Source organism: Homo sapiens, chromosome 1, assembly GCF_000001405.40.
Source record: "Homo sapiens chromosome 1, GRCh38.p14 Primary Assembly".
Lineage (NCBI taxonomy): Eukaryota > Metazoa > Chordata > Mammalia > Primates > Hominidae > Homo > Homo sapiens.
This window is the reverse complement of record NC_000001.11, coordinates 97,132,546-97,147,914: the sequence shown is the minus strand read 5'-3', so window position 1 is coordinate 97,147,914 and position 15,369 is coordinate 97,132,546. Positions and strand designations below refer to the sequence as shown.

General features: G+C 36.8%; 1 protein-coding gene and 1 long non-coding RNA gene across 6 annotated transcripts in view, besides 2 other annotated features; one reads left to right on the top strand and one right to left on the bottom strand.

Annotated features, from left to right (window-relative positions):
- DPYD (dihydropyrimidine dehydrogenase) overlaps positions 1–15,369 on the top strand; it is an 843,317-nt gene that overhangs the window by 773,145 nt on the left and 54,803 nt on the right. The window lies entirely within an intron of this gene.
- DPYD-AS1 (DPYD antisense RNA 1) overlaps positions 1–15,369 on the bottom strand; it is a 227,033-nt gene that overhangs the window by 175,041 nt on the left and 36,623 nt on the right. The gene's annotated exons all lie outside the window — the stretch shown is intronic.
- Positions 1,730–2,980: an enhancer, noted in NCBI's record as "VISTA enhancer hs671". NCBI's record gives its function as "enhancer in: forebrain[7/7]" and the evidence as "EXISTENCE:transgenic organism evidence [ECO:0001131][PMID:17130149]".
- Positions 9,516–9,645: an enhancer, noted in NCBI's record as "active region_1355". NCBI's record gives its function as "activates an Ori minimal core promoter by ATAC-STARR-seq in GM12878 lymphoblastoid cells {active_cell/tissue: GM12878}" and the evidence as "EXISTENCE:reporter gene assay evidence [ECO:0000049][PMID:35858748]".

Below are 15,369 nucleotides of genomic sequence, written 5' to 3'. Positions count from 1 at the left end.
AAATGCTTACCAACTTAGGCTATACCAAGTTGTATAAACCAATATTGCACTCACCCTCTTGATTCTACCCATTCTCAAAGTACAGTAAAAGAGAGCTATTACTCGCTCCACAATCACTGAGCCTGACATGATGCACAGAAGAGTTTAACATGAAAATAAGATGGACTGATGGGCTAAGGACGTAGAGGACATTGAGAAGATTTTATACAACTTGAGAAATATGTGTAAGTCTTACAGTTGGGATATTTAGGAAAAGGAAGGAGCATTTTGGATAGTCTTATCTTTATCTCAAATATCAATATCCTGGTTTAGGCTTTTAGGACCACTCTTCTGCGCTATAACTGTAGACTTTCTTCTCCCAGCTTCTCCTTCTCCAGACCCTTTACATATCACTGCCAGTTTATTTTTTCCAAAGCTTATTTTCTGATTCAGAGCATTCAGTGATACTTCTTGACCAACAAATGTAAGGGATTCTTTCATCTGGCATTCAAGGCTGTTTGTGATCTCCCTGCAACCTATTTTGCCAGTTTTTTGTTTGTTTGTTCGTTTGTTTGTTTGTTTGTTTTTTGAGACAGAGTCTCACTCTGTCACCAGGCTGGAGTCAGTGGCGCGATCTCAGCTCACTGCAATCTCTGCCTCCTGAGTTCAGGCGATTCTTCTCCTGCCTCAGCCTCCTGAGTAGCTGGGACTACGAGCATGCCCCCATGCCCAGCTAATTTTTGTAGTTTCAGAAGAGACAGCGTTTCACCATGTTGGCCAGGATGGTCTCCATCTCTTGACCTCATGGTCCACTGGCCTCGGCCTCCCAAAGTGCTGGGATTACAGGCGTGAGCCACTGCACCTGGCCTATTTTGTCAGTCTTACTTTTGTTACTTCCTTCCATGTAAATTATCTTTCAGTAAAGTGGTTTTCAAACATGCTCTCCTCCTTCCTATAACAGCCTCAATACATTGGCTCATGGCATGCAGTTCTTCTGACTCTTTATTTTCCTTGCCATTGAAATTCTACTAATTCTCACCTACCCCAGGAAGCTTTGTTTATTTTTCCCACTGGATATATTTATCTCCTCTAAACTAAGAAAGCATCTATTTTATACATATATTCATATTTACCATCCAAATCCACATTTATTTGAGTAATTGTACTTGGTTTTACCCATCTTTCTACTGCAGCCCCAATTATAAATACCATATGGACCATACTTTTATATGTCTCTGTCTCACATCATGCCTCCTGATCACACACACAAAAAAGGTTCCGTAAGGTTTAAAAAATGGCTAGAAAAGAATGGAAGAGTATTCTCCGTATTCTTAGATTTAACAATCATTTTATTTCCATCCAGACCTTATGGAAAGTCCATTGGCTGAAAACAGAACAGACAAACAAACAAACAAATAACCCTGAATGTTTCATAGAGACTGCCCAGAATAACAGGATGTATTGTATGGCCTTTGGACATGGTGTGCTTCCTTTACATTTGCCAATTCAAGAGCTTATGGTTGGGATGATCATATAGGCCAGTTTGTCTCTGACAGTCTTGCTTTTTGTGCCTGTAATTATCGATAATATCTTCCCTTCACTCTCAAAAGAGTTCTGGTTTAGATGAGAAAGTATATGGTCACTCTCCCTAAGGACCATTTTTATGGGCAAGTGAAAATACTCTCTCTACTTGTCAACATTGTATTAGTTTTCTTATACAAACTATTAATATTATAGAACTGGGATAGATTAGCATCTCACCCATTTCTTCCCAAAGCTTTAGGTTCATCTAAAAAGCAAATAAATCAACAGACAGACAAAAAAGCAAAAATAAACAAACAGAAAAACAAACAACAAAACAAGTCCCAAAGGCTAAGCCATTTGAAGTAGAAAAGGATAAAACATAAGGCTTAGGATCATTGGGAGAGATATTTTTTTCTCCTCCTTTTTCCCTTTTCTCTCCCAGGAATTCTTCAGTAGACTCAATTGAAGCCTTGAGTTTGAGGTTTTGTATTCTCAGATGGTAAGCACACCTATTAAAAAAGCAATGTATTCATGTTAACTCCCTGGCACCAGCAGGGCCTGTGTATTCACTGCTAGCAGTGGACACCATGCCAGGAGAACCTGACTCCTGGTGCAAAAGGATTAGGAAAAAAAAAAAAGTCAAACAATGCCAAAAAAAAAAAAAAAAACCCACACAATTCTTTTCTGTACTCTGTGGTTTGTTTTACTTAGGAAAACGGCCTGGTTATACCCTGCAGCACGCATTCATTACAGTGATCTTTGACTGGCAGATGCAGAGTAATAGGATGCATATTTTAGTGCTTATTATAATACCCTGTCCAAAAACAACTTGACAAATTTGTGATTTCGACAATATCTCATTTTGCTGGCTGCAGTGCTCTGTGATTGTCTGGCCCACGTGGCTTCCAGATTATGCATACCACCAATACTTCTCATTAAAATGGCCACAGTTCACCAGTTTCGGTAGCTTGGAACGAACTTGGAATGAATTATTATACAACAAAGAGGCTGCTGTCATGCAGAACAAAAGACAAGCAAAAGAGAGCTTTGGCTTAATGAGGCTAAGTGAGTGTCTCCCCTGCATCACAGCTACTTGACGGCCTTTGAGCATGGATTTTTTTTCTCCACAGGCCAAAACCTTTGGTCTATTATTTTGTGTTTATGCACCTTGAGGCTAATATACATTTTAATATGCTGCACATGGAGAAAAAAAATCAACCATTAGATTAGAACATGTGCACTCCCTGTTAAATTAATGACAACCGAACATAGAGATAAATTTAGGTTTTCATATTTAATTATAGCACACTGCAGTACGTTTAGCAAGGATAAATTGCACTATTATTATGCTTCATTTTTTTTGACATCTTCTCCTATTAGTAGTGCACACTTGCCCCAGCACCACCACCACCATCACCCTGTGGCCATGCTAACATCTCTGCATATCTTCCTTTTCTCCACATCACACAATCTCAGCCACCACGTTGAAAGGTATACTGTTTTATTTGCAAGATTTAGTGAGAGAACTGATGCCATTTTGGCAGTTCTGTGTGCATAAGAAAGTGATTTGTAAGAAAAAAATAAATCAGCTAAGAATAATTGTTATCACTCTTCCTTGCTGCATCAGATTATAGTGATGGGATCAAGTTCACTGCTTTTCTGATCAACCAAAAGCACAAAGCACAGCATGTGACTCTGAATAGTTGGTGTTTCATTATGACTCAGATGACCTGTGTATAAAGAAGGAGTCATAACAATCCCAAGAAAAATTCCAACAACCCTGTCACTTTTTGAAGCTTTTCTCTGTTGATTTTAATCTATTTATTGTAGAAATGGGAACACTTCAAGTAGTGAAAGTTACAGGGTAATAAAGATGGTCTTTGGGGAAAAAATTTAGCAAAGTTGATAGTAGAGATTATGAATATTGCTGTTCATTCTTTCCAGACCACCAAAGCAGGAACAGATTGTTAATATAACTGAAATGTCAAAATGAACTTTTCGTGTAGAATGACCAGAGAACTTGTAGTTCTTTCCATTTGGGGACTGTAATTTTACCTTCCATTAATTGAGTATATTTGTTTCATGTTACATCTGAGCTTATAGTTTAGCTTGCTTCATACACCAATTAATAGAGTTCCAGATGGTTGCCCAGAATGTAAGAGATTCTTCTTCTATCTTTGCGTAAAGCTGAAAGAAAGGCATTTGCCTATGTCTCTGCATTAAGGAAGCGTACCCATTTGTTGTCTTTTTGCTTTAAAAAGTCACTTGAATCAGCAAATGTCTTAAAATCAGAGAATACTTTTTCAGGATCTGAGCATTGAAATCCAGTTCTGGGGTTTTCCTGAGACTTATCCTTTATTTGATATTTGTTTCATGGTGATGCATAGCAGGGTTTGATGACCAGAGAATCATGGCAAGAATAATAATTTCCTTGTTCGGAAGGTCTGTAACTGGGGATAAAGAGTCAGAAGAGTCAGTTACCATTGGCTGGTGAACAACTCTTCTTGATGACACATAAAAGCAGCCGTTACAAATGTATTAAGAATAATTCTCTTTGCCCAAATTCTGGTCAAATGAAATTTGAAAGATGAGATATAAGAAATGGCCTTACGAAGATGGGCTGTAAAATCCATTTTCAAAATGCTTTTTTGTTTAAAGTTGACTCACCTCAGACACTAAAAGTGTGAGGTAATAAATAGCTAAGTAGCCTGGCAATATGGCAATTTCTTGTGACTCAGAGCTATTTTTTATAGTGTTTGCCAAACTTAAATTCTAAGAAACTCCTGTGTGAAAAGAGGTGAGGATTATATTTACTATTTTATAGAGGTTGACACTGAGTCTGTAGGTAGAAGGGTCTATCTAATTGGTACAGTCACTGGGTAATACTAAATTTCCTTACTCAGGAATCTAGATTCACTTATCTTGGAGGCTCTTTCCACCTGTGGACAAGTGGTTTCGATATCTCAATCAGCATTAGATAGTGGTTATCAAGTCATTTTTGTGGGTTAATTCACTTAGAAGTTCAAATAATTTGCTCTGAGTGGTCAGATGTTCTCAGTCCTAAATACTCTTGCCATTGAACATTTCAGTGTGCCTAAAGCAGATGTCAAGATGCCCTACAGGATTCCAATATAGCCATTCTAGCAAGAAGGAATTCCAAAACACACCTTGTTCCAAACATCCCTGGTAGAATGAAAGTGACTTATTTTCAAAATAATCATAATAATATTAAAAATAGTATATTATGGCCCTTAGAAATGCTCATGTTATTAAGTTAAAAAAACAAGAAACCTTGCTATATCTAAATATAATTCCTGTTTTTGTTATTTAAAAAAAGCATGCATTTGTGGACAGGAAAAAAAAGCTATGATAATACCCATATATTACCAGACATTTCTGAAAGCAGAAATTCTTGGTAATTTTTCTTTCTTTTTCTTTTCTATATTTCCTCAGTTTTCTTTAAGGAACATGTATTTTATACTGAGAAAAACTAAAAATGAAAGCAATAGCTTTTGAAAGTTTTCTATAAGTCTCTAAAGAATTATTGATCAAATATTTCATCAAAATATTTCATCAAATTTCATCAGAAAATCTTAGAAGAACCAAATTTAAAAGAATCAAGACTATTCAAGTGCCAAGCAGGAAAGTCAGGAAGGGCATAAAGAGCTGGCATTATTTAGCTTACAGAATAAATTAAATTAGTTTAGCCAACAAAGAATGGCTGAGGAGGAATTGCTATTTTTCTGTAAAAAAAAATAACAGATTATTATGTAAAGTTTTATAAAGAGAGTAACAGTGTTTTAAGTCTACTACTGATGAAGGAAAGTGAAACAAGTATGAAGAATGAAATCTGACGGAGATATGCTTTCCAAAGAATGAGCTGTTTGAAAGAGACTGACAACATCTCTGGAATCTTTTGTTTCTTTTTTCTTGTTTTTCTTTTCATTTCTCTTCTTTGGTCCTTGAGAAAAAGAGAGATTCGCATGTATTTATAATTCTATATGTGTAGTAGAACCATATGAAGGAAACTAGTTTCTTTTTCTTTTCTAATGTTACATGAAGTTTTCTATAAAATATATTTGTCAGAATTTTCAAGTTGGCTTTTCACATTTAAAAGCAGAAATGCTTGCCAAAGTCTAACTGAAGATAGATTTACTTATCCCTAATGTACAATATGATTATTTGCACCATAAAAGGCCCAATACTCTTTGAGTGCAAGTTGACTTGAAGAACTATCTAGATTGATTCTGTTAATTTATTTTAATTTTTACTAGGGTTTACATTTCTATTCTCTCTGCATTCTATGGGGATAAAGCTCAAAGTATAAACCTTGAGTGCTTCCAAATCTAATTAGTACATCCTACTCCAAACAGCCTAACAAAGAGTCAATCAAAGGAGTTCTTTGACCTGCTACTTGATTTGAGAGTTCCTAAGCAGTTTTCGTGTGTGGTTCTAGAATACCCAGAATGCTGATTTTGGTAGGAGGCTGTGGATATGTACTGCGGCTACTTGGCAAAGGAGTCAGTAACTCCTCCCCTGACCCCGGAGGGTTCTGTAATGCCTCAAATGGAATCCAGTTAACACGACACAGAGGCCTCTGGGCATCTATTGCCATCCATTCATTCAGCTAAGATGACTGAAATTCCTACCATGTGTCAGCCACTGTTCTAGACACTTGGGATTTATCCATTTAAAAAAGGAACCTACCCTTGTAGAACTTATATTTAAGTAAAAGAGATAAAAATGAACAAACAGTAAAGATAATAAATGATAGTATATTCGGTGATAAGGGCTATGTAAACAGGAAGGGTGGAGAAGGCAAGGGAGCTCAAAAGTATGGAAGTCAGGAGACAGGTTGCATTTTAAAGGTTAGACAGCAGTGAGTATGGACCTTTTAGAGAAAGTCTCATATGAGCAAAATGTGAAGGAAATGAGAAATAAGCCTCGTGGATGTCTGTGAGAAGAGATTTCCAGGCAGAAGGAATAGCGAGTAAAAAAGCCTTAAGGATCAGCCAAGAGTAGGGTGTCTGGAGTAGAGTAGATAGGGGGAGTAATAAGAGACAAAGTCAGGGAGGTAAGTAAGGTAGAGTAGAGGAATAGTGGCCATGCTCATGCTCTAACTTAGTTCCCTTCTAATTCAAGAACCTGTTAGTCACCTTCTATGCACCTCGTGCCTCGCTTGGTCTTCCCAGCTTCCCAGTTCGGTCTGGCATACACTTATTAAGCTTCCATTATATGCCAGGGACTGTGTTAGAAAATGCAAGCACAATCCTACATGAAGCGAGATCACTATACATCTTCAGTACTTCCCATTCCATTTTGGATCACTATGACAAGGTTTGCAGATGTGATATGTACTCAGAAGTGAACTTTCCCTACCTCCTCATGTTTACAGATCTATTAGACGTATGATCCACTCAGCTCACACTTACATTTGGCTTCATGTCATCACACAAAAATTAATTACTTGATTATTGGGAAAAAACAGTATTATAGTGTACCAAATGAGCTGCACTTTCAAAACAAGCCAGAAACATCTTTATTCTCTTAAAACCCACTAAGCTCCTCTTCTTGGCTATGGATAAAATCCCAGAGTTTTTCTGATCACTTCCAGACATTAGAACACCCTCAGATAATAAAGAGTCCAGCCAGGAAACTTGTGGCTCTCCTCTTATTTAAACAATCTCTGCTTTAACCTGCACTAGGCCCTATAGCATCAGTAGAGAAAAGGCCGGATGCTTAGGTCGTCTGTGATTATCTTCTGCCTCCCTCTCCCATCCTTCTTCTCCACTTCTCCATGTCACCTGTGATTCCTCCATTGTGCTGGGAAAGGATGAAGCATATGAGGCTAAAAGATGATTGTGTAGTGCTCTTATGGCATGGTTGTGATATTGATGCAATCAGGGCAGGTGCCAACTCTTTTTCTTAAAGGATACCTCTGTGGGATCTTCAGAGCCTCCCATTCTGTCTCCCTGGTGATACCTTCTGCTCTGCCCATTATGATTTCCTATGCTTCGGCATTTCACCCCTGAAGTCTCTTTCTACTGGGATTACCTCTCCTTGGCAGGGCTTTCAATGTAGTTATATTGCAGCAGCTTTCCAGAGTGTCCCCAAAAAAAACTCCTGTCTCTGTCATCATAAGCAAACACCTCTACTGGCCCTACTATCAGGGAACCCTCACAACCAACCTCTGACATACAGGCCTTTCTCAGCAGTAGTCAGACACCAGCCTCCTTACTTTAACCCTCCACAGCTACCCACCCAAGCACCCAGGGGCATGTCCATGTTCAGGTTGCTAAGACTGGTATCACTACAGTCAGCAAGTGTCCCATAAAGGCAGATTTTTTCCAAGTAGCAAATAGGTAGCCCAGAGTAAAAAAAAAAAAAAATGTCAGTTGCCTCTTTGGGCAAGTACCCCACTCTTGATTGTATTTAGAGTGTCTTCTGTCACTTGGCTTGAGGTAGCGGAAACAGAACATTCTACAGGAGAGAGCAGAGAAAATTACAGCACTTTTTCTGGGCTATCAATACATAATCTTTTCTCCAGTGTCTTCTCTGCCTCTCCTTAGAGCTATGGGTGACAGGGAAAGATCCCAGACCTACAGAGTAAATTTGAATCACATCTCACCAAGTCCTGCCTGATCCACCTTTAGAAAGAAGGAGATTTGCCAACATTCCTTTCATAGTTGGGGCCTCATCTAAGACTGAGAAACATCTTATGACATCCTATTACAATAATGCTGCCTTTGCCTTTAATCTGTTGTTCGTAAACATAAAAAATCTTTTCAGTCTAGAAATATCTGGTAGTGTGGTAATGACGTTTAAAACCAAGGATGTAATGATACTTCAGTTGGTTAAACTCAAGTTTTGTAAAGACAGGTCCAAGATTTTTTAAATCCATGAATAGAACCCAGTCTTGGGGTTTAATACTGTTTCATTTTCTTTTGCATATCTAAACTTATGAGTGTTATTAGGTTTTTCATAATGTTTTGATTTTTCTTTAAAAGATTCATCTTGTGAAGCCATTTTCAGAATACATAAATTTTTTTTTATTTTTATAACTTGTTTCTCAGAAGAACAAAAAACACTTTGCAGTTTTCTAAAAATCCCACTGGCGTGATCCAATTATAATTAGAGAAATCCAGCTACAGCATCAGAAATGAGATGGAAGGAATCTGAGGCACCATGACTGACTTGTTCATCACCGATGAACCGAATCTGGCATCGATCAGAATAGGATCAACAGAATTGTAGAATTCTTAATTTGGAGCTATTATAGGAAATTAATTTACATTTTGGATAAGATTTACTAATCCAAAAACTTAAAAAAGAAATATCCAATTCTGGCAGACTTCTTTTTCGAAAGGACCAAACTCAATGACAAAATTTTAGAATTCCTGAAAAGAGTTAACTGGAATTACCTTGGTGTTTTATTTGATAGGTAATATTTACTACCCACAAGCCTTTGTTATGAGGGTGGAATACATCTACCCAAGTCAGTCATGTGACTGGAATCAGTGAAAGCTCGTCACTGGTGCTGCACAGTAACTCATAAGCAGACAGAAAGCCAGAGGAGAGCTCTTCCTTCTCCAAATCCCTGGAAAATGCATTGCCTTAATTAGCAAACACTATCTTGAGTGACTCCTCTAGAGACTCCCAATTAACTAAGCTTCTAGACTAACATGAATTCTTCTCTCTTATTAGTTCATATTTATGTTTTTTAAATCAACAAAATTTCCCAACACTTTGTCACCCTAGAACCCAACCTTTATGAACATTTTTTGCGAGAAAAATGCAAAAGAATGAAACTAATGCAGTTTATTAAGCAAATAATCTTAAAAGCAGCCCACAACACAACTGCTCACCAGCTCGCAAGCTCACCGGATTATATTTCCTGCTGTTTTCAGTTACTTCTATTTATACTTCTAACCGGATGAACTCACCATGCCCCCTACTGCTTAAGAGCAATACTACCACAGTGTAGCACAACACAGCACATCCTAGTATTCTCCAGAGATTTCCTTCTGGCCATATGGTAGCTTTCAGAATGCTTGTTGAACAACATTGTTTGTCTCCCCTTGGTCACCAATGCCAGGATAAATCTGTGGAGTCATGCTGGCAGAAGAAATGGCCTCCAATCAGCAACAACAAACAAGTTCTTTATTACTGACCCCACCATCTGTCCCTGTTTCCACATGCCATTCTCATATAGAAACAGGTTTCCGCCAGGCCAGGTTCAGTGTGCATCCAGCATCTACCATTAGGTCAGCTTGAATATCCAGATTACAACTGTGCTTATCCTCTTACCTAGCTAACATCCTTTATCCAGAATGGAAAGTGGTTGGTGGACACTGAAAAAAGCCTGTGAAAGCCGTACTGCTGATAAGAGATATGTTTGCTAACGTCTTGGATTAGGGATGTGTACTTAGTGGAGATATCAGCCTCGGTGTGACAAAAGCAAGATGTAAGTATTACTTCCTTTATGTTAAGGTGTGCACCCACCAAGACCACTCTGCTTATAAACAGTGAATATGGAAGGAGTGTTCCCTGGTACTTTAATTATCAGCCCATTTTTACAATTGTGTAGCCAGAGATGTTCCCAAGATGAAGTTGTTTCCTAAAGGCTCATTTCAGAGAGGTAGATCATCCTACATGCTTTGCCATTGTAGTTTCAATATAAATACTTTAGGCCTGCTTGCAGCGCATCTTGAGTGCTCAAAATATCACATTTAGTGACAAGGATAAAAAAGACAGTGCTCTCAAACCAGCAATATTAAAGTAAGTGTGCCAAGAGCACATTATGAAAAAACTGATGGAGATACAGAGCCGACAGAATGTCTGCAGAGAAGCGCAATGAGAGAAATTGTCTTTCCCTGTTAATACCATTATGAGAAAGCTCATGGAAAGTTATTTTATTAAGTGTTTGTGTTATTAAAACCTATTCCCCTGTCTGAAATTTAATGCTACACAATGTACTAAATAGTCAGGTTTCAAGAGAGATGATAAACCTGGAAGAATTACATTACTACCCAAAGTATTGGTCATTGTACAGGGATTTAAAATTTAACAACCACATTAAACACCAAGCCAAATCAATAGTAATATTTTCAGTCTCTCCGAGGCAGATGACTGAATATGCTGAAAGCATTGTGGGGTTGTGTGGCACTGTGTTAGCTGGTCCATGCATCATTGAGGCCCGTGTCTGGTGTAATCAGCTCTGGGAAGACACTGTATTCTTAGCATTCCCGGAAGGCCTGCTGTTCCACAGCAACAAAAGACACAAGCACGGCACAGTACCACAGCACCAGCCGATGAACAATAAACCTGGTTCAGATTGAACTATTTACTTGGCATTTGCTATATCCTTAGGCTCCACTGGAAAAATTAATAGGTGGTCAGCTTTAGCAAATATCACAGTGATGGAATAAGGAGATTTGTTAGCCAACAATTTCTGATTTGTGTCACTTGTAAATATGATGGTTTTAGTTGTCCATTTTAACGATTCTTTCTAGTCGACAAATACCTAGCTGACTACTCTTTACCAGTGTCAAGGATGGCATTGAAAAAAACAAAAAAGATCTAGCTGATTTTGGCTCAGAAGTTCTTTCTTCTTGTCATAAATTTGCGTTCTTGCCTTCTTTAAAGGTGTCATTTAATGGCAGCACCTTATTTTTACTGACAGTGTTTTTGGGGAAGTTCAGACTATTCGTTCGTGATTCATCCAAATACGTGATTCTCCCTTGGATTCCAGCACAATTTGTGACCTTCTAATACTGAAGCACTAAATATCATTCCTGCTTTGATGGCAGGAAGTTTCCAGGGAAAAACCTAGGTGGGTAGGAATTGAGAATTCCATGAGAGAGATACTAAGATACCCCAGTCTGGCATGGGAAAAAAAATCTCATTACGTGTCCAAAAGGAAAAACACACACATGTGTATACATGACTGGATTCGCGAGGCAGTCCACACAGTGTAGGAGAGTGCCACTGAATCCCAGTGCTAAACATGAGACATGCCTCTCATTTTCTCGTCTTTAAAACAGGAATAATAACAGTACTGACCTCATAGGGTGATTGCGAAGACTATATGGAAAAAAGAAACATGTTTAGCACAAAGCATAGCACAATGAGTGCTCAGGATTTTATTTGTGTAATGATTCCTAGCATTTTTAAAGCTTAGAGTTTTATGAATGGAGACTCTGATTTAGGATCATGCTGGATTTCCAACCTTTAAAATTATGCAAGTCATTCTTGTGTGGAAGCAGAAAGTGAATAAATGGATTGGCATCAAACAACATCAGACTGGCAACAGGGAGGCCTAAATTTCAGTCTTAACGTTATATTGACTCAGCTCGCTACTTCTGGGAATGATAGTAACTCCTCGGGCCTTGGTTTCCTCATTTGAACTGAGGGAACTGGACTCTATCAAAGTCCTTTCTGATTTAAAGAACGGTGATCCTGGCTGTGTTCTTCCTTGCATGCAGAAAATGGCCATAGTCCATTGTAGAGGAATTTTGAAAAATAACAGAAACACTCTCTCAGCCTAGTATTTCCACTATTAGTCCATCATTTTTTAACAAGGTCCATCATTAAAAATCCTGTCTAGACATCTGCTTTTAAAAGACAGCTATCAATCAATCAATTTAGCTATTGAGTACCCATGTGGGGTGAGTATAGAGGATAGAAAACAAGAAATCCTGTTCTACCATAAAACCTTGAAATCTACTTGGAAAGAAAAAAGACACTATTTTTTAAAAATTAATATTTAGTAAGGGTCAAATGAGGAACACAGGCAACAACTATTCCACTCATGTTCCTACATGTCTTTTAAAGTAGTTTACCAATTTAAAACATTAAAGGTAATAAAATTTTTAAAATTTAAGACACAGCAGAAATTATTTAGAAAGCAAGAAGTGCTTGTATGGGAAACAAAAGATAAGCTATATTATTAAAACAGGACATCATGTTTTGCTGTAAACTTATTGGTAGCCAAGAAACTAAAGAAATTCATGAGTTTTATAGCTCTCATGGTCTGATAAAAGGGGATGTCTAGGTTTGTCTTAAGAGACAACACTTTGCTCCTGGCAGTAAATATTGGGAAAATTTTGTTACATGGATCCATATTTAATGAACACTTAATAATTTACTGTACAATGCCTATAGCCGGGGTTTTGTGAAAAATACAAAAGTGTCTTTCAAATACCTATACCATATCAATTTTTAGTGAAAGCTAAGGATTAGCTAAATCAACTCAAAAGAAGTATGCTCGAGTGAACCTAAGCTAATAAAATCTAAGAACGTTGCTTCTTGGTGACCAAACTTAATGCTTAGGGAAACTCAGAAAAATGGTGGATTAAGCTGTCTTTTAGGCTGATTTTTTAAAATATCAATTATCTCCAAAACACTTTTTAAATAAAAAAAATATATATATATAAGACCCCACCTGGAAAGAGTAACCCACTAGGTACTGTTCACCTTTGCGTAAATTATTTTATCAGATCTTTTTCTATTTAAACTCCCAACACTGAGGTACTTTCAAATCCATACCTTGGTTTCACTGAGAGGAGGTTAAGTGTCAAAGGCAACGTTAACTTACTTCATCATTATGCCGAGGGCTACTAATAAGAAGCAACATCTCACGTGGCCCTGCAGAGCTGCGCTGAACCTTTAAAAGTATGTAGTAAAAATTCTCTGCTAACTGGGCCACCACCAACTTCAGAAAGTCGTGTCAAAATAGAACATTCAAATAGTGAAAATCTACTGATATTTTAAGATTTAACCAAATGGTCACCCTCTTTAAGGAAGCCTTTGTTGACACGTTTCCTCCTCTTCCTCCCCAAACTTGGTAAAATGGCATAAATGTTAATTCAATTCATTTAATTCTTATCACAACTGCAAGAAATCATGACTATTATTACCATCCTGTCACGTATGAGGAAAGTAGCATACAAAGGTGGTATATAATTTGCCAAACTATCCAGCCTGTCGGTAGCAGACCAGAGAGCTAGACTCAGGCAATCTGTTTCAGAACTCATGCTCATACATACGATGTGAGAATACCAAATTCTGGCTTATTTTAATCTGATCATTTTTCAGAGGAAAGCAAATATTTATACTCAGGTTTAATAGGGTTATTTTCGCTATGGAAATACATTAATAACTCAATTTAAATGTTGAAAGTGATGTTCTTCCCATTTTTTGAAAACTTATGGTCAGCCTAGAGCCAGCTATATAAAACCCTAGCTTGGCCATAAGTCTTTACCTAAAAGATAAAGACATTATTATCAGCTTATTATTGCTGCTCACACTTACACCTTAACAGTCTCTACCTAATATAATTAGAATATATATATATATATATATATATATATATATATATATATATATATATATATATTTTTTTTTTTTTTTTTGAAACAGAGTCTGGCTCTGTGACCCAGGCTGGAGTACAGTGGCGTGATCTCAGCTCACTGCAACCTCCACCTCCCGGGTTTCAGCGATTCCCCCACCTCAGCCTCCTGAGTAGCTGGGACTACAGGCGCATGCCGTAACACCTGGCTAATTTTTTGTATTTTTAGTAGAGACGGGATTTCACCATGTTGGCCAGGCTGGTCTCGAACTCCTGACTTCAAGTGATCTGCCCACCTCAGCTTCCCAAAGTGCTGAGATTACAGGTGTGAACCACCGCACCAGGCCTACAATATAATTTTAAATAAAAAATGTAACCTAATAGGTCAATGTGTATCATAGAAGTTTTCATACAACAATGGGAAAGGATTTTTTAAATTGCAGTGTGCTCTGTGATATGGTATAGCAATTACAGAAGAAAAAGATCAAAAGTGTCTCATACCATATACCAAAACAAATTTCAAAGGATTAGATAGTTAGATATAAAAACAAACCAAAGTACATGTAGAAGAAAATAAAACTGAATATTTACCAAGCTTCTATAGGTAATCAATTTTTAAAAGCAACAAAAAGGAAAAAGACACTAACAAGCAGATTCCCCTGCATAAGTTAGAGAAAAAAGTTATTTTTTCAAATAAAAAAAGTAGAATAAAATAAAGCTATGATACCATTGTATGTTATCACTATCAGAAAGCAATTAAAAAAGGAGAAGACCAAAAATATATTTATCTGCTTTAATAAATTGTAAAATTTATGTATGTAATATATAACCCAAATCCAAAAAGGCTAGCAACAGATTTCGGGAAAAATATAATAAGTGTGGCAGAATTAATGCTTTTATTTTATAAAAGGCTAAGCTAAATTTTTTTAAAAAATATCTTAGTACTCTATAGTCAGTTTACAAAACAAGAAATACATCTAAAAAAGAACCTAGAAAATGTTCAAGCTAACTAGTTTTTTAAAAAATTGAAAGGAAAACTAAGGCCTTACTTTTTCATCACATACCAACGGAGCAAAAAAAATAATATTCATGTTATATTAAGAAATATCAAGTATTGGTTTGAAACTGTTGATGTCATAAATATTGATGACTTTAGAAATAGGTTCAGCTCTTTGGAAAAGAAATTCTTTAAAGTATTTGAATTAACTCTAAGTAAATAATCCAAAATATATTTTAATGTGCATATAGAAGTTCTCTTCATCATTGCTTACTAATGAAATAGTAGTCATTATAAAAACTTGGGAGCAATATAGAAAATAATTGATTAAATTACAGTAAATTTATTGGATCAGGTGTTTTAATGATAAAATGCAAAATGATCAAACATATGCAAGTCATTTTTCATCTTGATGATTTGCACATGAAAAAGATGGAAGAAGGACCTATAAGAATGATAGAATTTATGATAGAATTTTTAGAGTGCTAAATTTATGTAGTAGTTGTTGTTTACATTTCTC